The 25,772-nt window shown below is 51.7% G+C and overlaps 1 protein-coding gene and 1 long non-coding RNA gene across 5 annotated transcripts in view, besides 1 other annotated feature; one reads left to right on the top strand and one right to left on the bottom strand.

The window, feature by feature from the left end:
* The window catches only part of NCF4 (neutrophil cytosolic factor 4), a 17,010-nt gene extending 4,872 nt beyond the window's left edge, over window positions 1–12,138 (bottom strand). For 2 of the 4 annotated variants that reach the window (NM_013416.4, NM_000631.5), the window contains exons 1-7: window positions 11,941–12,138; window positions 9,015–9,099; window positions 8,072–8,225; window positions 5,682–5,752; window positions 2,602–2,729; window positions 1,435–1,492; window positions 719–817 (exon numbers count right to left, since the gene is read on the bottom strand). In NM_013416.4, coding sequence (NP_038202.2) covers window positions 719–817; window positions 1,435–1,492; window positions 2,602–2,729; window positions 5,682–5,752; window positions 8,072–8,225; window positions 9,015–9,099; window positions 11,941–11,972 — 627 coding nt within the window. In that variant the 5' untranslated portion in view covers window positions 11,973–12,138. The other 2 variants (XM_047441385.1, XM_047441384.1) reach the window with 2 other exon arrangements.
* Window positions 813–1,351: an enhancer, noted in NCBI's record as "H3K4me1 hESC enhancer chr22:37267835-37268373 (GRCh37/hg19 assembly coordinates)". NCBI's record gives its function as "activates a minimal SCP1, AML or CMV promoter by ChIP-STARR-seq in primed H9 embryonic stem cells {active_cell/tissue: H9 hESC(primed)}" and the evidence as "EXISTENCE:reporter gene assay evidence [ECO:0000049][PMID:30033119]".
* On the top strand, window positions 2,701–25,772 carry NCF4-AS1 (NCF4 antisense RNA 1). Its single transcript, NR_147197.1, has 2 exons — window positions 2,701–3,051; window positions 25,127–25,772. It is a non-coding gene; the product is annotated as an NCF4 antisense RNA 1 (long non-coding RNA).

Genomic DNA, 25,772 nt, shown 5'->3' with positions numbered 1-25,772 from the left:
CTAATCTTACCTCCAATCTCACCTCCACGCTCACCTCCATCCTCACCTCCAATCTCACCTCCATCCTCACCTCCAACCTTACCTCCAATCTCACCTCCATCCTCACCTCCAATCTCACCTCCAGTCTCACCTCCATCCTCACCTCCACTCTCGCCTCCACCCTTACCTCCACCCTCACCTCCAATCTCACCTCCAATCTCACCTCCATCCTCACCTCCAGTCTCACCTCCACCCTCACCTCCAATCTCACCTCCATCCTCACCTCCAACCTTACTGCCAGTCTCACCCCCATCCTCACGTCCACCCTTACCTCCATCCTCACCTTCACCCTCATCTCCACCCTCAATCTCCATCCTCACCTTCACCCTCATCTCCACCCTCACCTCCATCCTCACCTCCAATCTCATCTCCAATCTCACCTCCAACCTCACCTCCAATCTCACCTCCAACCTTACCTCCAATCTCACCTCCATCCTCACCTCCAATCTCATCTCCACTCTTACCTCCACCCTCACCTCCAATCTCACCTTCATCCTCACCTCCAATCTCACCTCCATCCTCACCTCCACTCTTACCTCCATCCTCACCTCCAATCTCACCTCCACCCTCACCTTCATCCTCACCTCCAATTGCACTTCCACCCTCACCTCTATCTTCACTTTTAATTTCCCTCCAACCTCACCTTCAATCTCACCTCCATCCTCACTTCTGAACTCACCTCCAGCCAGTCTTTGTTGATCCGACTGAGGAGGAAGATCACATCTCCAGCTTTGAAATTCAGCTCCAGTTTGCTGTTTCCAGTGAAGTCAAATAGAGCCTGAGGAGAAGCGTGCAGTAAGGAGGGAAGGAGAGAACACTCACTGAGTTCCTATAGAAGTGCCTTACATACTTTAGTCTCCCATTTTACAGATGTAGAAACTGAGGCTTGGGGAGAATAAGCGACTTCTCTGAGGCCACCCCATTTTTTAGTGGAGGAGCTGGGAATTGAACCCAGGTCTCCCTGACTCCAGGATGGGTGCTCCTTCCAAACCTGGTGGGGGTGAGCACACAGGGAAGGGTTCGAACTCTCTGGGCTGAGCACCCACCCTGGTCCCCAGGCTTCATCGTGGGCTGGGCCTTGTCTGAGTCATCTCTGCAGCTTCCATGCCTAAGGCAGGGCTGACTCAGAGGAGGCCCAGGTAAACTGTCCGGATGAGCGTAGGGATGGAAGCATTCTCCTCTGGCTCCGCACGCTGGTCACATGCCCTCCCCTTAGCTGGGCTCGGGGGACCCCCAGTGGCAGAGGCTGAGGCTGTAACCCCTTCCTTCCTCCTGGTGCCCAGCACTGTCCCAGGCACACAGCAGCACCCAGCAGGAGAGGCCCAGTGGCTGGCAGGTGGGCCAAGGCAGATGCCCACAGTGTGAGAGCCTGGCCAGCGTGGGGGCGGGGGTTACCTCTGCTCTCGGAGCTGCCATGCGGTCAACGCTGTTGCCCTGTGGGGACACGCTCTTGCTGTGGAGAGAGAAGAGGGGCTTGTTAGCCCTGTGATTCTCTCAGGGCCCAGCTTCCTGCTCCTGTGTCCAGAGGAGCCCCTTGCAAGGAGCAGGGAAGGCAGAGGAGACAGAAGATGCTGAAATGTGGCTGCAATTGCTCCTCTGGGCGGGCACACTTGTCCCCAAATCCTCACAACCTCTTTGGAGGTGGGATTGTTCTCCCTTCTTTATGGACCAGGAAGCCAGGCTCAGAAAGCAGGTGGGGAAGGGGATACACGCTCATTCGGTGCCTTTCACTTGCCAAAGTGTTCAGATGTGTTTGTTCCTCTGCTCCCTACAACCAAGCTCTGATGTAAATGTGACTGTTTCTAATTTTTCAGCTGAGGGAAACTGAAGGTTGGAGAGGTGAAGTGCCTTGCTCTGGGGCCTGCGGCTGCCACATGGCACAGCTGGAATTAAGACACACCTGCCTGTGTGCACAGGGGAGATGCCAGGCATGGAGAGGACCCTTGGAGACATTGGTGGGAGGAAGCAGAGGGAGGAGCTGGTGGGGAGCTCAGGAGCTCCGTCCTGCTTTTCCCAGAATTCTTAGTAGCAGCAACCTGGGCTTTGGAAGCCCAGCAGTCTACGAGTGGCTTGAATTTTTGGTGGGAAGGATGGGCTTTTTGGAATAAGGGAGGAACAGTGTGCTCTGGAGGCCAGCATGATACAACTAGAGCCATAGCTGGCCCCATGGAGCTCCAACACACCAGGGAGAAGGCATTCCCAGAGATGCTCAGAGAATGTTTGTGGATGGGGCAGCTTTTCCCTCCTCTCTGCCCCCAATTCTTTCCAGGCACCCAGAGCTTCTGGGCTATCCCCAGTAGTTGCTGTGGCACCAAACTCTCTGGAGTCAATATCCCAGTCCTCGTCTTCCAATCCTTATTATCACATTGAAAGGCACACACCCTCTGTCCCTCCAAGCCTGAACATGACTTTCTAAACCCATCTAATAAATCAAATCATCCTGGAGTGTCCAGGGATATGGCTGATCTGTATTTTCCTTCTCTCCTTTCAGGGAAAAGAGATGCTTTTCCAGCAGGGACCCAGGGCTCTGGCCATGTGGAAGCCCAGGGGCTGGTCACTTACACTTTCCGGGTGCGCGGGCGGAGCCGGCGGAGTGCCTGGGGCACCTGCTCTGAGTCATAGGGCGACTGGTAAAAGAAGATCCGGACGTCCTCATCCATCAGCACCCAGACCGGCAGGCTGAGCAGGCTCTGTGTGGGTGAGACAGCAGAACCGGTGGGGTAGTCAGCAGAAAGATCTGGACACCCCAGCCTAGATGTCCCGTCCCCGAGCCCTGACATCAGCCCTCCTCTCTTTACTAATGCATGATGCCTGATAACAGAAATGCGTTGTTTAAAAGAATAAGAAAACTCAGCATGCTGAAGGTAACACTTCACAAGCTCTGCTCCTGGGTCCAAGGTCAGGAGAGGGACCAGGGGCTTGAGAAGAGTCCATTTGGAAAAGACTTAAAGTTCTCCAGAAACAGCAGTAATGGTGATGACAACTAACATGACCCGGCGGTGACTTTACCAGGTGGGTATCACATGCGCGCCCTTGCTCCATCTCATGACATCCCTTGAGTTAGGATCAGAGAGGTGAAGGGATATGCTCAAGGCCACAAAGCCTAGCAAGGGACAGAGCTGGGGCACCCAGAGCCATCTGCCACTAAAGGCTACCCAAAGCTTAAGGTGAGACAACAGTTGGCGGGGGTGGGGGGCTCCCAAAATAACCCAAATTAACAACAGTTGGTGGCATTATAGCCTACAAAATGCTTCCTGATACTTTATCTCATATCATAGTTGAGGAAACTGATGCTTGGAGAGGGAAAGTACCTGGCCCAGAGGAGCCGAGCTAAGTGACAGGGCCCGGACTTGAGCCCTAGTGTCCTTGTTTCATCCAAGCTGGTTACACCCACCACGATGCAAAGACTTTGAAGCTGTGAGGACGCGAGCACCCAGAGCCTGGCGGGGTCATCTCACCAAACTCCAAGCGCACAGGTCTGGGGACACTGAGGGTTGGCTTTGGGTGCTGAGGCTCCAGAGGCACCCAGAGCCCTGCAGAGGATCCCATGGGGGCAGCAGGATGAGGTGGGGTCGGGGAACTTTGTCCGAGAGGAACTGGGGATGCAGAGCCCGGAAAAGGCTGTCATATGGGGACAGCCTGGGAGGTGTTTAAGGAGCCAGGGGCTCCTGGGATCGAATCCCAGCTCTGCCTGTCACCAGCTGGGTGGCTTTGGGCAAACCTGGCTCCAGATGGTCATTAATAAAATGGGGACAATAATAGCCTCTCCCTCGTGGGATTGTGTGAGAATTAAATGAGTAAATACATGCAGAATCCTTAGAACAACACCAGGCATATACCAGGTGCCCATCAAAGTTAGATGTCATCATTGTTACTGTGATTTTCATTACAACGAGGCACAGTGGGTAAGAGCTCAAACCCTGGAGTCACAGAGATGTGAATTCAAATCTCATCCCACCTACCTAACTGCTCTGTCACACTTAACTCACAAGTTATTGAGGGGATTAAATAAGATTATTCATTTATCAATAAACGTGTATCAAGAGTCTCCTGGTTGCCAGTCAAAGCTCTTCACGCAGTTCCAGGCAGTTGTCATTATCATGTGATTCACATTCTTCATGAGGGCGGGGTGAGACCAGTGGGTAGGACTTACAGAGAGTTGGGCTTTTCTCATAGCTGCCCAACAATGGGACAGGCAGCCTGGGTCAGGGCGGAGTGGTAGTGAGCTCCCCATCTCTGAGGGTATGCAAGCACAGGATGGGGTGGCCATGGCAGAGATTCCTGCCCTGAATGATCTCTGGCTTCCAGGAACCCAATTGGACACAAAGAGGCAGAGATGGATCCTCTGGGCTGCTGGTTGCTAAGACCAGGTGTGGAATGAGGAGCCCCAGTTCCCCAGCCTCGCCTCCTGCCTTCTCTTCCTCCTTCCCTCCCTCCCTCCCTTCACAGCCCACTCCCCTATTCTAGCCCAGGGGGAGAAGGGTGGAGCCTCAGCCACCCTGAAGGAGCAGCTGGAGCCCACCCAGCTCCCCTCCCTCCCTCTTCCCTGCTCAGAGCCCAGGATTCCTGCAGCTACCTGCTCTCTCCTCCTTCCTCCCACCTCCTCTGCCCTCCATCTGCTCCTTCCCTCCATCAGGAGTCAAGATCTCTCACATTCTGGAAGCAGGTTCACAGTTTACAAAGCACTTTCTCATCCTGTTCTCGACAGATCCCAACTTCACTCCTGTGATACTAGAGGGCACTGCCCCATTTCACAAGTGTGAAAACCAAGGCCTAGAGAGGATGGGCAACTCACCCCAAATCACCCAGCCAGTCAGTGTCAGAGTCAAGACTAAAGGATCCTAGCCCAGCGCTCTCCAGCTGTGAGGATGCCGCTGGGCTGGGAGGAGGGCTTCGCTTGCCAGCTTCCTGAGGTCACTATCAGGTCTCTAGCGACGGTGCACTCACTGCCACCTCATGAGGAACACTGCCCCTTTCCTGGATGGCTGTGGCTGGTGGAAGTCCTTTCCTGACCACCTTGGCCTCTGCCTTTAAGATGCTCCTTCCTCTACGCTCCCATCTCATAGAGATGCAGAGTTTGCAAGTCGGAGAATACACAAGGGCCCCCAGCCAAGACCCATGAGTGTAGCTAAAATCCAGCCCATGTTCACGTAAGGGAGTGAGTTGTCCCAGAGGAGGCCTACTCTAGTTTGCACAAAGATGCTATATGAGCAACCTGCGGCCTGCTTGGCCACACCCCCATGATGGAGGCACACATATGTCTCCGTGTGATCTTATGATCCACCTGTTGGCATTCCCATAGGACAGTGGGTACCTTGGGGGCAGACACTGGATGGAATTCACCTTTGTATTTTAACTCCTGGCATAGACATTCACCTGTGGGGCTTGGAGCATTAAATGAAGACTTGTCAATTCCTAGTGTGGCTCTTTTACCTTCTCCGTTGCTCCTGCTCCTATCTCTGGAACCCTAAGGACGCATCCTGTTTTACTCCCCAGACCAGGCCTTTAGGGATTGAAGATGGGGCCATCAGAGCCAGAGAGCCAGCCCCAGTTCCCAAAGCCATACCCAGGGATGGTACGTGGGCTCCCCCACCAATACTGCATGCCCTTCCACGTGCCAAGGTGGCAAGGCCCACTGGTACCTTCATGTAGGCGTTGAGGGCAGGTATCCGCATCTCGGCGATCTCCTGTTTCACACCCACGTAGACTTTGGCTGAGAAGAGACAAAGAGCTGTCCTAGGAGCCTGGCCCAACATGGCCCCGGGGCTCAGGGCTGCCCCTACAGGCCAGGAACCCTGGCCAGAGCCCCTTCCCGATGGCTCAGCATTCTTCCCTGTTATCTTTTCACAGCACTGAAGTGGCCACTCTGGCACCATCCAACTTTCATCCTCTCAGTTGTGCTATCACCAGCTGATATTTTTCTTGTCTTACTTTTTTATTTACTGCCTGTTCATCCAAGCGCACACACACACACACACACACACACACACACACGACTCTTAGTTCTAAGAGAGCAGGATTTTCACCTGCTTGGCTCACAGCTGTACCCCCATCACCCAGGACAGTGGCAACACCGGCTGCACATTCAAGCTACCCAAGGAGCTTGTAAATATCTCACTGTGTAGCACTTGCCCCAGAGCAATTAAATCAGAATCTCCGGGGGCAGGACTCAGGAACCAGGATTCTTTCCATCTCTCAAGGCACGTCCACATACCACCAAAGTTAAGAACCATGGGTCTAGAATCATGCCCAGATGAATGAGCATTTGTTAAGTGGATGAATGAACAATTCCTCAAGCTCAAGGCAGATGTTCTGGAGGAAAAGGAAATATGACGGGCTACCAAGAGACAAATGTCCCCTCCAGGTGCCTTCATGTGGGCGCACTGGTGGAACCATTCACCAAGAGAACCCCTACGAGGAAGCAAGTCTGAAACCTGCCTGGCTCCTGGTGTCCAGGAGATGGACAGAGGTGATGGCGGCGGCGGTAGGAGGGTCTGGGCTAGAGCTAGACATTGGGAGTTAGGAGCAAAAACGTGACAATTAAGTCCCAGACATGGGTCAGTTTGCCAGGGTGAGTGTTTGGAATGAGAAGACAAGGCAGGGGAGAGAGGATGTCTGCTCAGAGGATCCCCACCTTCCAAGGAGCAGCAGAGAAGGTTGATTCTGTAACAGAGAAGCTGAAGGAGTCTCTAGTAAGCTAGGAAGGGGATTGGGAGACACTGGTGCCTCAGGAGGTTGGAGAAAGCTTAACAGAGGAAGGAGTGGGGGTGTGAAGATGAGGCTTGGCACTGGCCATGGAAGCCAGAATTGATGGGTCATGGCCCACCTCACCGAGAGGAATTTCAGTGGAGTAGTCAGAGCTAAACCAAGCTGAGGAGTTAAGGAGAGGATGGCCATGCCAAGGTGAGACAGTGCGTGAATTTGATGCCAAAGGAAGAAGAAAGAGAACTTTGGGGGCCCTGGGGGCACGGAGGCTCAGGGAGGCTTGTAAGAATGCTGTTTCATGGCTCAGGATTGTTTAAAGACAGAAGAGGGTTGAGGCTGTGGAGACGCTTAGCAGAGGGAGTTGGTATATCAAGAGGAAGATGAATATACAAGGAAAAGGAGGGGTAGATTGTCAGGAGAGAGCCCCAAAAGAGAGAGGAGGGAAAATGATGGAGCCTGAGAGGGGAGGCTGGCTTAGAGTAGGCAAGACTCCTAGGGGGAGCTTCAAGTTCCTTGGTGGGGCTGGATGAGAAGGAGCGGGGTCATATGCTGAGACAGAGAGAGACAGAAACAGAGACAGAAAAAACAAACTGGAGATGGGGTTGGAGCTTGGGGAAGGGTCCCTGAGGCTTGGGGAAGGGAGACAATTGTCCCTGTCTCTAACTTGCAGGGCACGAAGGGCGCCGCTGAGACCACCCCCGTGTAACCCATTCGTGATGGGGTTTCCTCCTGCGGGGCAGGTGCTGAGCAGCTAAGGGCTTGGCGCTGTCCAAGGTGCGCGTTAGGATCCAGCTGGGGAGGAAGGACCAGGAGGCCAGGGGGCGGGGAGACTGTTTGCAAGCAGAGGCTTGAGGCCACCCAGCTTCCTGGCGGGACAGGAGAAGAAGGAGAGCCACAGGGACGCTGGAAGCCAAGACCATGAAGTCAGAGGGCTGGTCTCGTGGGAGGAAGCTGAGGGTGGGCAGGGAGGTGAGTCAGTGTGTTTAGGGACCAGACTGGGGGATTCCTGTCTCTGAGGAAGGGAGGCCAGGTGCTGAAGTGCTCCAGACTGTGGCCTCCTGGTAGTGGACAGCAGGAGCGAGTGGCCACGATGGTCATCAGAGCTCCGGGGCTGTGAGGCTAGAGTGCTTGGGGTGGAAGCCATGGCGTGAGGCAGGGGGAGCCATGCAGGGAGGGCTTGGCAGCCTGTAACTGCCGGGAGTGGGGGCTATAAACTACATGAACAGTTTTCACTGGGGTTGAGATCAAATCACAGAACAGTGTCAGGGGCCCTGGAAGGAAGGAGAGTCAGCAGCTCTGCAGCAGCAGGACGGGAGTGGCCGCCTACCTGGGAGTGTGGGCAGGGTACAGGCCAGGGCACTGCTCTTGCTGTCTGGCCCGAAGCGCTCCTCCAGCTTGCTCTGCAAAGCATGGAACTGGCGGTAGCGGCGGTAGATGAGGTACTTGGATCCTCCTTTTGTCTTCACCTCGATGACGAAAACCTAAGGAGGACAGAGGTTGTGGGGAGGGCTCAGGGGCCAGGAGCACAAGCCAAAAAGAGGTGGAAGGGAAAAGGGGAGGAGGAGGAGGAGGAAGATGATGAGGATAAGGATGCAGAAGGGTCTCTGGAGAAGGAGACCCCTGTCAAGTCAAAAGGCTGGCGCCCCAGAAGCAGACGAGCTTTGCGAAAAAAAAAGAAAAGAAAAGAAAAAAAAAACTGGAAAAAGAGAGGAAGTGAGACCTAGTGTTAGAGGCAAGAGCCCTTGGAAATAGGCCAAACACACATTCAGGCCCAAGAAATGAGGAGCCATGCCTTGGAGGTCATGGTGCAGAGTGAACCTGCCCCTGGCTGTGCTGTGGGTGCAGGATGCCCCCTCCATCTGTGTCTGAATATGACAGGGGTGTTGTGGGGGCAACACTAAAGTCCCTCACCCCCGACTCTCCAGGTGGAGGTTCTGAGGTCAAAGGACGCGATCAGGATTTCTCAATCTTAGTATTATGCTGGGGCCGGACAGTTCTTTACTGGGGACAGGGCTGTCATGTGCACAGTGGGGTGTTTAGCAGCACCCTGGATTCTACCCACTAGATGTGGAGTAGACCTGCCCCAAGATGCAATAATCAGAATCTCCCAGGGTAATGTCAAATGGGCAAAATCGGTCCTGTTGAGAACCACTGAGATAGAAGTTAAGAGATCAGAGAATTGGAGGTTCAGAGGTCAGAGGGCAAGGTTCAGAGGTCAGCTGGGTGGAAGTTCAGAGGTTGTTGGGTGAAGGACTAGGAGTCTGTCTTACAAAGTGGCTGGTGAAGCCTCTCTTCTCCTCGATGTCAGCAATGTTGGCCGAGATGGCAACATCATCCGGAAGCTGTTCAAAGTCACTGTGCGAAGGAGGGGAAAAGAGATCCTGCTTATCACCCTGATGTGTTTTGTGGGCCCACCGGGTATGAGGTAGAGTGCAAAGCAAACTAATGTTGTGAAGCCAACATTCGTCTCTCAGCACCCCTTCCCAGGCCAGGTCCAGCCACTGACCCTGGGAATACGGAGATAACAAGACACAGCCCAGGCCTTGAGTGCAGGAATGGGAAGCTGGCGGCCATACTGAGTGCAGGAATGGGAAGCTGGTGGCCATATTGAGTGTAGGAATGGGAAGCTGGTGACCATATAGCAATAGCCAAATTATAGTCTAACACATTGCTGTCAATTGCACAGATTCACCTGGGAATAAGGCATCAAACATCTCCATACCAGGCCCTGTCCTAGGCCCTGGGTCACAGATGTAAACAAAGTCAACATGTGCCCTGGATGGAGCTGCTCAGTTCAGGGAACCGCAGGTTGCTGAGCATGGCTGGAGCACAGAGCAGGAGGTGGAACGTGATGAGAGACCAGTCGGAGAGACAGGCAGGGCCCGCTCACGAGGTGCCTTGATGCCTCGCAGAGGGACCTCGAGTTTTCCCTGGGGTGGTGGGGGCTGAGGAAGGAGTCAAGCAGGACAGACATTGGCAGATGCTCGAGGCATAGGCGCAGCACTGGGGACAAGAAGATCAAGCTCCCTTGGGAAGATTCCTAGCTGTGCTCCGCTCCTTCCCTCCTCTGTAAAATGGGGACAGGAGAAGTACTTATGTCTCCGGGTGGTCATGCAGTCCCATCTGTAACAAACACAGCCCTAAAATCTCCATGAGGGCAAGGACTCTGCTCACCCTACATCCCAGTGCCCAGAACAGAGCCCGGCATACAGTAGGTGCTCAGTACTGCTCAATACACGGCCACTACCGTCGTCTGCAATTATAGAGTTTTTTGATGGGCAGCATGAGAATGGCCTGGCTGCCTGTGGGGCGGGCAAGAAGAGCAGCAAACCCAACCGGAAGTCCCCTGGAATATCCGCTCCCTTGGGGACCTCACCCAGGCCCTACTGGGCCGGGATGTTCTGGCTCAAGACACACTCGCACAGTTCACAGACTTTGGAGCCTGGCCTGGGGGAGGTTTTGGAGCCTGCCCTGGGGGAGGCCGAGGTTGGAAGAACCCTTGGAGGGCAGCCAGGGCAGGTTTTCTGGCACCTGGCACATAGTAGGTGCTCAAAACATGTCTGTTGGAACCGAACTTGCCACCCCTAAGGCAGCCCTCCCCATCTTTGGATGTCTCACCTTGGGGTTCTAGAAAGTCCCCGCTGCGCGAACCTGCGCCCTCTCCTTGTACTCTCTGCTTTGACCTTAAGCAGAACAATCCAGGCTCGCTTTCAGATAAGACCTTCGAGGTACAGGGAGCCCCCATGCCCCTAGTACCTGGCTCAAGGCCTCATGAAAAGCAGTCCCTCCCCCTCTGAGGGCTAAGGCAGCTGAAAGGGGACAGGGAGTGGGGGAGGGAGTGCACAGTCCTGCTGGTCAGCTCTCCGTGTCATCCCCTGAACCCTGTACCCCAGAAAGCAGGAAGTGCCCAAGCCTCAAACAGCTGCTGCTTCCGGAAGATTCGAGTTTGCGTGCGGCTGGGTCCCCCAGGAGCATGTGAGGGGAGGAAGGAATTCAGGTCGGCCAGCCTTACCCAGCTCCTGCACCCCGCTCTGAGGCTCAGGAAGGCCACGTGGACTCCCCTGTAGGCATTTGCTTCTGCTGCCCTTGCCCCAACCCACGCTTCAGGTTCTACTTCCAGCCCCAGGCCCCAACATGGGCCTTCTGTTCCCCGCGTAGGCACACACCAGCCTGGCCTGTCTCTGGTGACCCCCTGAGTGGCCTCCACGTAGGTAACAGAGGTCACCTGCTGTTCCAATCCAGGGGGTGCAGGGGCCAGGCTTTGCGTCCTCAGGGCCCCCGCAGCTTAGAGCTCAGACCTGGCTACTGAGGAAAAATTCTGAAAATGCTTCCCAAGCGACGAGGCTAGATGCTGGTGAGGCCGTGCTCCAAGCCCCAACCTTGCCAGTCACTCTCTGTGACCCTGAGTAAGTCTCTTATCCTCCCTGGGCCTCAGATTTCCAATCTGTACAATGGCAAGGTTGGACTAGAAGAATCTAAGACCTTTTCCGTCTCAAAGATCCACCCATTCATTCATTCATTTATTCATTCATTCAGCAACATTTATTGAGCCCTTGGTCCTGGTGCTCAATAGGGATGAGCTACCTCCTAGTGATACAGCAGCGATCAAAACGGACACAGCCTCGTGGAGCTTGCTTCTCATGGGGGAGCCAACGTTCAAGAAAAAATAATAAATGAGCATATAATATTATTCCTGTAATATAAGAACCAGGCAGAAAAGGGAAATAGGGCAAAGGGTCAGACAGCAATGAGGTAGGGGCTGTCAGGAAGGCTTCTTGGAGGAGGTGACATTTGAGGCAAGCCCTGATTAGCGGAAGAACAAGCCAGATTCTGTGAATTCTGTTTGCGCAGAAGATGGAAAGTCATTGCTGATCACCATGTGAAGCAAAGGGCCCCAGCCTGGGACCCAGGACACCTGCATTCCTCTCCAGACACTGCCGGTCACTCGTTGTGTGACCGTGGGCAAGTCACTCCCACTCTTGGAGCCTCAGTGTTCTCATTTGTGTCTGAGGGTGGTGAGCCACAGCTCAAAGTTTCGTTAAAGCAGTTCTGAGAGGTTGCATTTCTGAGTATTTGGGTTCTGACTCAACCCCAGCCTCTCATGTTGATCAGGGACTGCAGAAGGACTGGCCTTTGTCCCTAAGGCCTATGAGGAGCAGTGAGAAGGCCCGGGGGCGGCCACACCCCGGCACTCACCTCTCGGCCCGCAGCTGCTGGGCCACAGCCATGGTGGGCGATGGTCCCAGGGAGCAGGTGGAGAGTCTCGCCCAGCCAGTCCCAGGCTGAGTTCACCTCTCACTTCCTCCAGCCACCCTGCGTCTCGTCTCAGCCTGTGGTCCTGGGAGTCCCCAGGAGCTGCCTTTGGGGAGGCTCAGGCCTGCTTCTCTCCAGTCTGGCAGAGGCTCCTCCTCCAGGCTCTCTGGGCCTAGCCTGTGGCCCACACTTCCTCTTACCTCACCTCCCAGCTGCACAGAAATTGAGGAAGTGGACCCTCGGGTGCCAGGTTTGCAGGAATCCACTTCCTTGATGTCAGTCCTTGGCGCCAAGCCTCAGTTGGGTATCAGAAGCCTTGCTCCATCAGAGATGGGGTCCCAGCCATCAGGGTGTCTTGTGACCTTGAGGAGTCACTTATCCTCTGGCCCATCAAGCCCCACCTTTATTCTCTTACTGCCAAGCCTTTGCCCAAACTCTTCCCCAGGCCTAGAATGCTGGCCTCCATTTTCCTGTGATCTCTTAGGCCCAGAGTAAATGCCACCTCCTCCAGGAAGCCCTCCTGGTTCCTCTGGCCTCTGTCTTCCTAGAGTGTGAAGTTTGGTTTGCGCGCCCTGGCACTCTGGGATATCCTTTCCTCATCCTTAGATCTCCATGCCCAGCCAATCCTCTTTCACAGGGCTGCCAATCAGAGTGAGTTTCACCCTCCCTGCTTAAACTCTCCTGCCCCATCACCCTGTGCTCAGGATAAAGTCCAGAGTCCTTGCCCTGCCTGCCTCCAATGCCCCTGAGGCCCTGCAGCCTTCCCCAGCCTCTGCTCCTGAGCTCCCTTTTTCTCACTGGCCTCCTTTCCGTTTCTAGAATGTTCTAAGACGTCCGCCCCAAGGCCTATGCTCATGGTGTTCCCTCTGCTGGAAAAAGCTCTTCACTGCCTCCTTTGCATCTCAGCTTAGAAGCTACATCTTTAGCGAGGCCTTCCCTGACCACACACCCTAAATTAAGGCCCTCCCTACTACATTCTCTCACAGGTCCCTGCACGTCTACTGCAGAGCACTCATAACTATTGTCATCTCACATTTGTTTGTTTATCTGTATGTTTAATGACTGCCTCCTTGGCTAGCAGCGTGCCTGGCACATTGCAAGTGCTCAACCAATATTCAGTGAATGAATGAAACGCTGCCAGTCAGTGACTGCAGCTCCTAACAGGTATGGGTATTTGATTCTGAAGGGACTTCTCTGAGAAGAGGTCCACAGGAGTCATTGGCACAGCCACACCCAGTAACTCCCTGCCAGCTACACACGCTCACACACTCGTATTCATACATGCAGAGCAGAAAGTTGTTTTAAACTACTTTAAACATACAAGTCCCAGCTAAAAAAAACAAGAAAGCATAATTTTTAGGTAGGATCAAAGAGAGGGGTCAGGAATCTATACCAGGGGGAGAGGAACGTGGCCAACAGCCCATGGGAAAACCAAGATTGGATATGCATTGTTGGGCTGAGATTTTAATGCCAAATCTGGGACTAGGTACAGGCCACAGGTCCTGCTGTTAGCAGAAAGTCAAATCTGAGTTCTCAGTGTAAAGTGGGTGTCAGAACTGATTATGGGAACAGAGTTTCTCAGCCATCAGCCTAGAGTCACGGCAGGAGCTGAGGTCCTCTCACAGTCCATGGGTGGAACAAGGGACGTGTGTACCAGATCAGCCTCAAGCCTGCCCTCTGCACTGGTGTAAGGCCCCGATATAAGCTACCCACGTGGTGCAGAAATCCTAAGCTGAGGCATTATATAAAAACAGCTTGGAGTCAGTGACTCTGCAGGGCCTACTCTGTCAACTCACAGACCAAAACTACAAATCGTGAGCTGTGAAAGACAGCTCAGAGCCTCCACATCATGAAGAATTCACACCCAAAGAACTAGAAATAATACAAACAATAAGTCTGATGAGTTGCTGGTGTCTCGGGGCTCCCAGGCTAGAGGATGAAATGAAACACAGAGCAGGGTTATTAGTGCAGGTGTCTGTAAGTACCAACAGGTGCAAGCACACAGCCATAACTGAGGGAAGAGGAGGACATTGGCCTACAGTTGGTCAGGAAGGACAGGAAGTGGCAAAACAATTTTAGCAAGCAAGCATGATACAGAATTTGTAGGTGATTGTGTAAACTGTGTGTGTAGTATATGCCTATAGTTGGAAACACATATTTGTGTATAAACACATACAGCTCGCATAGGCAAGTGTAAGTGCATTTGTGTTGTGTCTATAAAAGACCATATAATGTGTATAGTGGTGGCATTGTGGCTGTGAGAGAATGTGTTTAGATGTTTAGGTTGCAGTCGGTGACAAATGAGTATAAACACAAGTACATTTATAATAGGTGAACTCAGGCAAGATAACATGTCCTTTTTGAACCTTTCTTCTTCACCAATCTGTGAAACAGTCTTGCCTAATGGAGTTGTAGTAGGAATTAATAGAAAACTGTATAAAAGTGCCTAGACACATGGACATTTCTTATTCCTTTTTTAATCGTTTTCAGTGTGTATATCTGTATGTGTGTGTTTCAGGTGGGTTAAGCCCTCAAGTTTACCTTCCCAGGTATTTTCATGGCTTGCCCTCCAAACCCCGGCCCCCCCAACCCCCCAAGAAACCTCCTGTGGCCCTGACTCAGCCACTGGGAAGCCACCTCTGCACCTGGGGGACAAAGATGTCCAGGGAAGAGCCCGCGACGGGCCAGCTCTTCCCCTCCTCCCCTCTTTCTCTCCTTTTCTTCTGTCCCTGCCCGTGGTTCTGCTGAATACAGGTATTTCTCTGTCTCCTCATACACAGAACGCTGCTGCCAATTTTATGCCCGAGCTCTGATACAGTGTAATTTGAGGCCAGGCACTCTGTCAGCAATGGGCTCCTGTCCTGCCGCTGCAGCAATGCCTGTACCTTCTACTCCCACTCCAGAACCGGGCTCTTGCTGCTCCTGCTGCAGGGGGAGAATGAGGCAGAGGGATGACCTGGAAGAGGAGCCAAGCTCTTCACACGTTCCATTAAACAAGTATGGATGGAATCTTTTTTGGATAAGTGCAAAGAAATGCCTGAAGTGACCTCTCACTTATGGAGACCTGATTTTTGATAACCTCCACATCCCACAGCCTGTGAATAAACCAAAAAAAGAGAAAAGCCATTGAATGGTTAGAATTGATAGCTCAAAGTCTATGCATTGACACTGGCATATTTTATTCACAGAAGAAATATAAAAGGAGCCTGGTCCTCTCTTCCTGCCAACTCAAGAACTTGAAGCAGTGAGTTAGGGGAAGGAAGAAAATTACCAGGGGCAGCCAAATGCAAGCGACAGTTCAGTGACAGCCTGACAATGATAAAGACCATGGAATACCAAAAAATATATATGTTCTCAAGAACTCAAAAAACAAATACCAGAGGCCATTCAGAGAAGGGCATCTCTGCATAACACCACTTACTAATGCCCATTCATAATCACATCTCCAGGAAAAAGTCTAATACACCAAGACCATGCCTGGGGGATCCCCAGAGCCTGAATGGGGACTGGATGTGCGAATCACAAAAGTGCACAGCACTTTTCAGTCCTTCCTCATGCAGGTGCTGGGGTATACAAGATAAACCATAGCCCCCATTTTGGACATGAGGAAACTCTCCTTTGAGCAGCCAGCGGCTGGGGCTGAGAGCTCCAGCCATAGGAACTGGAACTCTGTGATAGGGAGGAGGTGAGCCTCTTCTACAGGACCAGGAGATACCCTTGAGAGCTCATTATAGGTACTCAGCAAATCCCCACTGCCTACATCAGCCACTCTCCAGGGTAAGAGAAGGAAAATCCCTGATTGGACAGTGTAAGATTCCTGGGGATCCCTCACACACTGAATTCCCCAATCTTGACCCACATGTGTCTCCCTTTATAATTTATGAGGGGAACTTCACTGGACCTCCTCCCTGAGCCATAAATAGCCATCCCTGGCATGCCACCCAGGCAGGGAGGGTGTAGACGTGGCCAATTAGACAGCAAACTCCCTGAAGGCAGAGGGTCTTCTCTTCTCTGAGAAGCCCTGGCACACGGCTGAGCTGGGTCTAAACCTCGTGTGCCCTCGCTGTGTCACGCATTAGTTGTGCAAACTCTCCGACCATTGTTCAGTTTTCTAAATGGAGATAATATTTGCCTCTACATTATTAATTGGAGAGAAAAATTGCAGGATTATTGTATTATTCATTTCCAAATGTGTTGAGAACCTACTATGTGCCAGACACCCACTGTGTGCTAGGCCCTAAATGAAACACAGACACTGTTCTTGAGACACGCACTTACTAGAGGTGTGTTAACTAAGGGAATGAATACCAGATGTTTAGGACAGTGGCTCGCGCATAGCAGGTGGTCAATAAATTCTAGACGTTAATGTTATTGACGATCATTCCTTGCTGTGGCTTGGTCCCTCCCTTTTCTGTCTCCCTCTGCTGCACAGCTTGGTCCTCTCTGTCATACAACTAACGTTACATTCTAACTTTTTCCCGCAATCTGTCATCCGCTCTCATCACGCGGGGGCACCGGGACGCGCACTTCCCTGGCGGAACCGGCTCTGCGCTTAATCTAAATGTTGACGGGAACAGACCGCCAGGGGGCGCCGCGATCAGCAGCCGAGTCCCCGCTCCGCAGCGCCACCTAGAGGAGGTTGAATGCTATAAGCCGCACTAGAAGGACCCGGCCAAGTCGAGAGTCAAGTTGCAGCTGGCCAGGCAGAGCGCGCAGCCTGCTGGCTCAGACAACCTCTCCAGACAGCCCTATCAGCCAGAATCTGAGCTGCACTCAGGGGAAGCTTCCCCCAGGGGCTAAGAATCCTGAATCTCCTCTCCACCATCATAAATACGGTAACAGCCAAGTCACTCTGAGAGTTGACTGTGTAACCACCCCTACACCGTGAAATTGCCAGGAGGAGCACGAGAGCTAGCATTTGCAAAGCCCTTAGTACAGTGCCTGGCCCACAGCCTGGCTTGGTCCATGTTGGCTCTGATTGTTGTTACCTAATCCTCACACCAACCCCCATAAAATAGTGGTATTCTTATCCCCACCGGGAGATAAGGAAACCCAGGCTTTACGGGATTAGGAAAATAAACCAAAGCGGCTTGCTTAATGACCGGCAGAGTAAGATTTGGACCTCACATCAGTCTGGCTTCAAGACCCACACTTAATAACTGCTGTACTGGCCCTCATTCATTCATTTATTCACTCCACAAGCATTCATCTAGTATCACTCTGCACCAGGTAGAAAGGATATTGAGATGAATTCAGCACAACTGCTGCCCTCAGGTAGCTCACACTGCTGTTGAGGTACATAAATAAACACACATGCACAACACAGGCACATATACACATGCACACGCAGGCACACATACACATGCACAAACATGTATAAACACATACACATGCATGCACACACAGGCATATATACACATGCACACGCAGGCACATATACACATACACATGTACATATACACATGCACACATAGGCATGTACACAGAGACACATACATATACACATGTACATGTACACCTGCACACACATGCATGTACACACAGGCATATAGAAATGCACATACATGCATGCACACACATGCAAATATACACGTGCATGCATACCCATGCTCAAACATGTACACACATACAGAATCAAGTACAATTTGGGGAAAACCAAGAGATACATGTTTCACATCCAGTTTCTCTGATTCCATCTCCAGTGCTGTCTTTGGTCCCCAGAGGTTATGGACACAAATGTCTACAGCGGCCTGGCAGGTAGCCTGGAGGTTTCAGATGGATCCGGGGGTGGAAAGGCAATGGCAGTAGGCTATAGTCTAGCGTCTGCCTTTCGTTAACCTTACATTCTGGGACAGAACTCCAAACTCTACATTTGAACCTGGCCTTCCAGTTTATCATGAAGGTACATTTATCAAAGAAGGATAGAACTTACTTTTTAGCAGTTGATTGGCTTGATTCCTAACTGTACATATTTAGAATCGTGGTACATGGGCCTCTGTCCCATTGCTCTAGGCCCTCCAAATGTCAGGGTCAGTGAGCAGGACAGATAGGCTTGTAAGTCATGGTGATTCTCAGGATTTCATTCAAAGAGGAAAGAGAAACCATTCAAGTGTTTTAAACAAGGAGTGATATGATTGAATTTATGTTTTTATAAGATGCCTTGGTCCACTACTTGGATATGGGCTTGCAAGAGGGTGGCATTAGAAACAAGGGGAGGAAGCACCACTTCTAACAGCGTTCTACTTCAATTTTTAAAAAATCAGCTTTATCAAGGTGCAATTCACACACAGTAAAACTTACCAACTGAAAGTATACAATTCCATGGGTTTGGACAGTTGTGTAACCAGCACCACAATCATTATATAGGACATTTCCATTATCTCAAAAGATCCCTCAGGACACTTTGCAGCCAATCTCCTTCCCCTACCCCCAGGCCCTGGCAATGACTGATCCACTTTCTATCACAGTATTTTGCCATTTCTGAAATTTCGGACAAAACCACAGAGTATGTGATCTTTTGTGCCTGTTTTTTTTCACATAGTATAACGCTTTTGAAATTCATGAGTGTTGATATGTACATCGGTATTCATTCTTTTTATTGTCAAGTAGTATTTTATTGTATGGATATAACATAAGTTGTTTTCCATGCACAAGTTCATAAACATTAGGGTTTTTTTTTTGTTTTCCAGTTTGGGGCTGTTAAAACAAAGGGGCTACAAACATCAAGCATAAATGTTTGAGTGAGCATGTGCCTTCATTTCTCTTGGGTAAATATCTAAGAGAGAGTTGCTGGGTCATATGGTAGATGCATATTTAACTTTATAGGAAAACTGTTTTCCAGGTCGGGTGTGGTGGCTCACGCCTGTAATCCCAGCACTTTGGGAGGCCGAGGTGGGTGAATCACCTGAGGTCAGGAGTTCGAGACCAGCCTGGCCAACATGGTGAAGCCCCATCTCTATTAAAAATACAAAAATTAGCCACGCATGGTGGTGGGCACCTGTAATCCCAATTACTCGGGAGGCTGAGGCAGGAGAATCCCTTGAACCCAGGAGAGATTTCAGCAAGCTGAGATCGCGTCACTGCACCCCACCCTGGGCGACAGAGCGAGACTCGGTCTAAAAACAAACAAACAAACAAACAAACAAACAAACAAACAAACAAAAAGAAGGAAACTGTTTTCCAAAGTGGTTGAATCATTTTGCATTCCCCCTGACCCATGTATCAGAAGACAGAGGCTCCAGAGTACCCGGTGTGCACTGGCTCAGAGGCAGTGGCCCCAGGTCTGCACAGACTGGGGGTCTAAATGAGTCATAGCCTTGGGGCTGGTTATTAAATGATTTTCTCCCAGCTCCAAACCTTTCTTCTACCCTCTGCTTTGTGGTGCCCGAGCTGGGACTCAAAACCCTGTTTGTTCTGCTTTGCTGGCTGATTTCCGCTGCCCTTGGCCAGGAGGGGGCGCTGGAGGGAGGCCGGAAGGATGGGAGAGGAAGGAGGGGCTTGCTTCTTTCTCTTTGCAGGCGGGACCCAACTGCCCTGCCCTGGAAGCCATGTTGGCCCAGCAGCAGTTGATTCTAGGTTTTAGTTTTTTTCACATTCCCAGAGCCAGTCTCACCCCACCCCCTCCTCAGAGGTCTGCAGTTCTGAGTCCCAGCTCCTCCCCGCAGGTCTAAGTCTCCTCCTCCAAGCTTCCAGGCTAGCGTAACCCCGCTCTCTTCCTTCCGTTCCCACAGCCGCAGGGGTGATGGCTGCTTCCTGAAGTTTCTATCTCTGGTGACCTCGGTGTCTCCTTCTGCCTTTTCAGTCTAACAGAATCTGTTCAAGCAGTCTCCTTTATAGAATTCTCACTTTAAAAATTATTCATTTGCTTTCTGTGTCACCAAACCTAGCCAGCCTAGCAGGCTGCAAGGCCCAGCTCCCAGCCCCAGGGTGTCCCAAGGGAAGCAAGGCAATAAGGCAGAAAGAGCTCTCACTCTTTGGCTATGAACTCTCAGACATCTCCCTCAAGCACTCCGAGCTTCAGGTTATTTATCTGCAAAATGCATCCAAATAGAGCCTAATATAAATGAGGGCTTAATAAATATTTGAGGGAGGAAGTGGAAGAAGGAGGTATTTTATATCCGTTATTGATACCTACTTCATTTGAGCATGTTACAAATTTTTTTCTAATACTCTGCAGGGAATGCCAAATCCTTCCCCTGTGCACTCTGTCTTTATTCTTCTTGATAAGGTGTAGCAGAGACTGCTAATATCCCCTACGATCCACTCTGTCCTTTCTCCTTTAGTGATAAAGTCCCTGAGTTGTGGCTGGACTCATGGCCACCCAGCTAAAGAGAACATTTCCCAGCCTACCTTGCAGCTCCCTGTGGCCATGTGACCAGTTGCTGGCCAATAGAATGGGAGGGGAGGCCATGGACATGCTATCAGGCTGTGTCGTGAAAGACAGAAGGTGTATCTTCCATTTCCCATCTCCCCTTCCAGCTGGCTGGAGAGGCCAGCTATGGAGAACAGTTAAGCAACAAAACAGCTTGGATCTCTGACCCTGCTTCTGTTCAGATTTTTCAGGGAGAAAGAAATTTCTATTGTGTTTTAGCAGCTGATTCTTTGATGCTTGTTACAGCAGCTGAACCTGTACCCTACCCAGTACACTGGAGCAGGGATTGGCAAATGCTTTCTTTTCATTTTCTTTCTTTCATTTTTTTTTTTTAAGTTGGAGTCTCGCTCTGTCACCTAGGCTGGAGTGCAGTGGTGCAATCTCAGCTCACTGCAACCTCTGCCTCCCGGATTCAAGCCATTCTCATACCTCAGCCTCCTGAGTAGCTAGGATTACAGACATCTGCCACCACGCCCCGCTAATTTTTGTATTTTTAGTGGAGATGAGGTTTCAACATGTTGGCAGGCTGGTCTCAAACTTCTGGCCTCAAGTGATCCACCTGCTTCAGCCTCCTAAAGTGCTGGGATTGCAGGTGTGAGCTACTGCACCCAGCTGAAAAATAATTTCTAAAAAACGCCAGATAGTAAATAGTTTAGGCTTTGCAGGGAGTTGGTCTCTGTCACAACTGCTGAATTCTGCTGTCACAGCACAAAAGCAGCCATAAACAATAAATAGTTGAATGTGCATGACTATCTTCCAATAAAACTTTATTTATAAAAGCAAGCAGGTCTGTGTGGACGCTGCACCAGAGTTAACAGCAAAGAGACTACCTTGCGACAGTTAAAAAGAGCTCAGGAAGGTGAATCCTGGGTGAGGGGTGAGGCAGAGCAGCTGCCTGAGGGCTGCCTCCTCCCTGAGGGTCTACCTCTGGTTCCTGATGCTGCTAAGATGCCACTGCCTTTGAAAGTGCCCCAGGAAAGGAGGGCTCCTCTAGCTGCAGTTTATCCAGCACAGACATGTTGGAATTTGATTTTCCTAAAGGCATCAAAAGGGGAAAAATCTACAGCCAGCAGAAAAGTGTGGCTCCAGGCTGACCAGCATCTGCATGAAACTATATTCAAAAATCAGTCGTGCCTCCAAATATTAACTACAAAGGAATGGCAACCTCCCCTTTCCACAGCCCTCTCCTCCCTCCTCTGCGCTGCAGCACTCTGAAGCCCCTCACCCACCCGCACCCTCCCTCCAGCCCGGGCCCCAGGACATGCCTTCCTCCCTTCCTCTGCCTGCTCATTGTCCTGTACATCAACTTGACCTCTCCTGATGCATTCTCCCCGTCTTCCTCCCATCTCTATGATTTTATGGCTTTTCTTCATCCATTTGATTCTTTGCATCACCTAAGATTCAAAACTGGTCAAAGACTTCCCTGGAAGGCTGGGGCAGCACCCTCCCCAGCTAGAGCTGTCACTTTAATTCCAGCCTCTGTCAGCGTCTTCACTTCTCACCTCTTCCTGCTGAAGATTCCATAGCATGGGCACATTTGGGGGCAAGAACCATGTCCCATTCATCTATGAATCACCAGTGTCCAAAACAGGACCAATAAGGGTTTGTGGGAGGAAGGGAGGGAGAAAAAGAGGGGAGGATGGAGGCCGAGAGTGAAGAAGGAGACAAAGCAAGTGGGTAGACTTGCAGTAGGACTGGGCTTTTGATCTCGGACATTGCCCTCTTGCCGGATGAGGCCAGGACCCAGGTGATTGAAATAAAAGCATCTCTCGCTCCTCATGAGCTCTGCCCTCTACGTTAAGGGGAGAGCTTTCCCTCTTACATGCCCACAGTGTGGCGACGACTGCCCAGGGTGCCCCACTCTCTCGGAGCTGCACAGCCAGGAACCAGAGAGCTTTGTAACACGCAGTCCTGGGAGTTCTGTAACTGGCCTTTCAGCTCCTGGCCCTTCGGCCACCTGCTCCCAGCTGTGACCTCCTAGCCACAGCCCTCAGTGTACTCCTGTCCCCAGCCCTCACCTGGGGTCCTTCTGCAGCTGTGGCCTCTGCTATTTGTTTTTTGTTTTTGTTTTTTCTGAGACGGAGTCTCACTCTGTCTCCCAGGCTGGAATGCAGTAGCGCAGTCTTGGCTCACTGCAATCTGCCTCCCGGATTCAAGTGATTCTCCTGCCTCAGCCTCCTGAGTCACTGGGATTACAGGCGTGGACCACCACGCCCGGCTAATTTTTGTATTTTTAGTAGAGACGGGGTTTCACCATGTTGGCCAGGCTAGTCTTGAACCCCTGACCTCAGGTGATCCACCCGCCTTGGCCTCCCAAAGTGCTGGGATTACAGGCGTGGGCCACTGCGCCTGGCCTGGCCTCTGCTATTACCTACCACCCACAATGCTGCCTCGGCTCCCCCAACCCCTGTGCCACTTGCTCCCACCGCTTCTCCTCTGTGACTGGGGCTCCTCCCAGATGCCTCTCCAACCTCAGCCACCTTCCCCAGCATGCACTCTGAGTGGGGGTTTCCTTACTCCCGAGCGCTCTGTTACCATCTGCACACCGAGGACTCTGCGGTCGCTCGCTGGGCACCAGGCCGTGTGTCCCAGCTGCCTCCTGGACCCCCTACCTCTCCCTAGCTGTTCCCCGAGCCCCTCCAAGCCAGTGGTTCCTTTCCCTCCACAGCGGCCCCTCCTCCTGAGCTCTGTCTCCACCATTTACGGAAGACAGAAACCTGGAGTCACCTTGGCCTTCCTGTCTCCTTGGCCTGCCACAGCCGATCTGTCAGGAATGTATTTCACCTCCTTAAGTTCCCTCTAACTGCCTCTCCTCCTCCATCCCTACAGCCTGGGCTTAAATTCAGATTTTCCTCCTCTCCTGCCTGAATAATTTCAACAGTGGCCCACCTGGTCTTGTCCTCCATCCGTCCTGCGGGTTGTCATCCACACCAGCTCCTGGGAGGCCTTTCCTGAATATGACTAACCCCACACATCCCATCCCTCCAGGCCTCACGGTGGCTAAGAAAACGAGTCCATATCGCTCTCATTCAGCCAGGCTCCAGCCTAACTCCAGACTCATTCCTCTCCTCTCCCAGCTAAAACTACTGGGGCAGGTGGTCCCTCAAGCCCCAATGTGCCCAGGCCTTTGCATATTCCAGTGCCTCCACCCCCCACCCCCAATATCTCTGCTTAACCAATTCCTAGTTCTCCTTAAAGACTCCACACGCCATCCACTAGAAAGGTATCACAAGGGTTCGAAATGGAACATCTGCCTGGCACACAGTAAGTGCTTAAGATGATGGAATTAGGAGTGTTATGGTGGGTGCCCTGGAGCCCTGGGGACGATAAGAAAGATCACGAGGTGATCTTTAGAATCTTAGAATGGGCTTCACAACGATCTTAGAAGGGGCTTCAGCCTCAGGGTAAAGTTTGATGCTCAGACCACTTCCCCTTCCACTTAATAGCAGGATCTAGACTTTCTCCAGCACCCCTCCCAGGTCTTTCCAAAAGTCTTCTTCTTCTCTGATGAGGGAGGGAAAGGGTCTTTTCTCCCCTTGTTCCTCTGCCCCCACACACTCCCATCTGAAACCCCTACCTCCCGGAGCCCTGCATTGTAGGGCGTGGACCTGCCCCTTATCCCCCGAAAACCCTATCTACAGACTCTAACGGAAGGGCAGAAGGTGTAGGGATGACCAGGGGATGAGGGGCTCTGCACATGCCCCTCCGTAGGGCACTCATAGGCCTCCGCTATGCTGGTGGCCGTGGTGTCCTGAGACTCTCCTCTCTGCCATCCTCAGAGAATCGACTTCCCGAAGAAGGCTCAAGGATAAGCCCCGGGCTGCTGGCTCTCACTGCACCCCCGTCGTCCTCTCCACCTGCTCCCCTCACCTTGGGGACCCTGTGGCGGGGGGGTGGGGGGCGGGGGCGGGTCTGAGCTCATTGGTTTTCTTTTCACTGGTGCTCCGCTCTGCGTAATGTAGGTTTTCTTTTTCTTTTCTTTCTTTCTTTTTTTTTTTTGAGACAGAGTTTTGCTCTTATTGCTCAGGCTAGAGTGTAATGGCACGATCTCGGCTCACTGCAACCTCCACCTCCCGGGTTCAAGCGATTCTCCTGCCTCAGCCCCCTGAGTAGCTGGAATTACAGGCACGCACCACCACACCCAGCTAATTTTGTATTTTCAGTAGAGACGGGGTTTCTCCATGTTGGTCAGGCTGGTCTCAAACTCCCGACCTCAGGTGATCCACCCGCCTGGGCCTCCCAGAGTGCTGGGATTACAGGCCTGAGCCACCACACCTGACCATTGTGTAGGTTTGCTGCCCTTCTGAATATATTACCTTTCCTCGAAGCAAATCCCGCCTTCCACAGTGTATTACCATCTCACATCCATTGATGCTCTTTCTCTTCTCTTTGTCCTTGACTGACGGACTATCCTTTATATACACATACATACATATACATATAGAGATAGATAGATGATAGATAGATATAGATATAGATATTTTTTCTTTCTATGTCAACAAGGGCTCAGGAGGGAGGAGAGACCAATGCTTGTAACTTTTTTCCACAAAGTAGTTGATTGCTTTCTGTATGTGCAACTGTCTTTTATCCAGACTTTTCCCAGAAGGCCTCTCCTTTTCAGCAAAAACAACACCAAAATGAATCAAGGTATTTTCCTGAACTTGGAAGTCATCTGCTCCCTTCTCCCCCAGGAATGCACCAGAATAAGCATTTCACTTTTGAAAGTTTGCAATATGTATTTTTTTCTTTTCTTTACAGTATTCCTCCCACAGATGAGGAAACTGGAGCTTGGAGGGAATGAATTGCTGGACGTCACAGAGATGAGCTGGGACTTGAGTTTCATGCTTCTCATTCCAGAGGGTGCCCTAGCTTCGCCTCCATCACATGGCCTGGGACACTGGAACCTGATGAGAACCCAGGAGAAGGGACCTTGGGCTGGCCAGGTACTTTCCCTTTGCCCATGCAGTGCTGCTGGTGGCAACAGCTTCCATGTCATACAGGAGGGAACGGAGGCTCGGAACTGCCAAAGCTCCACACGGATACACCCTTGTAGAGAGACTCCCCCCATGGAAGGGTCACCTCAACCACTTTCTGCTGGTTCCCTTGCAGACATTTCAAACTTTGTCACCTATTCAAAGATGGCTTTCTACGGACTACATGAGCAACCAACAAGCTAACCCATTGGGTGCCATGAAAAAACATGAAGCAACAGCCACATAGGAGAGGGGATTCCGCACTTGGAGATGCTGGTCCTACCTGACGGATGAAGACCCCTGGTGGGAGGTCACCTGGCTCCCATCTGTCGAGGGCTGTCAGTCCTACACCTGTCCTCTCACAGGCTAAGCCAATCTGCAAGCCCATTTGAATGAAGGTGTCATGTGGTGAACCACTGTTTTACATGCCA

The sequence above is a fragment of the Homo sapiens genome, chromosome 22 (assembly GCF_000001405.40).
Source record: "Homo sapiens chromosome 22, GRCh38.p14 Primary Assembly".
Taxonomy (NCBI): Eukaryota; Metazoa; Chordata; class Mammalia; order Primates; family Hominidae; genus Homo; species Homo sapiens.
Note: the sequence above shows the minus strand (reverse complement) of the source record. Positions and strands in the feature narration are given on the sequence as shown.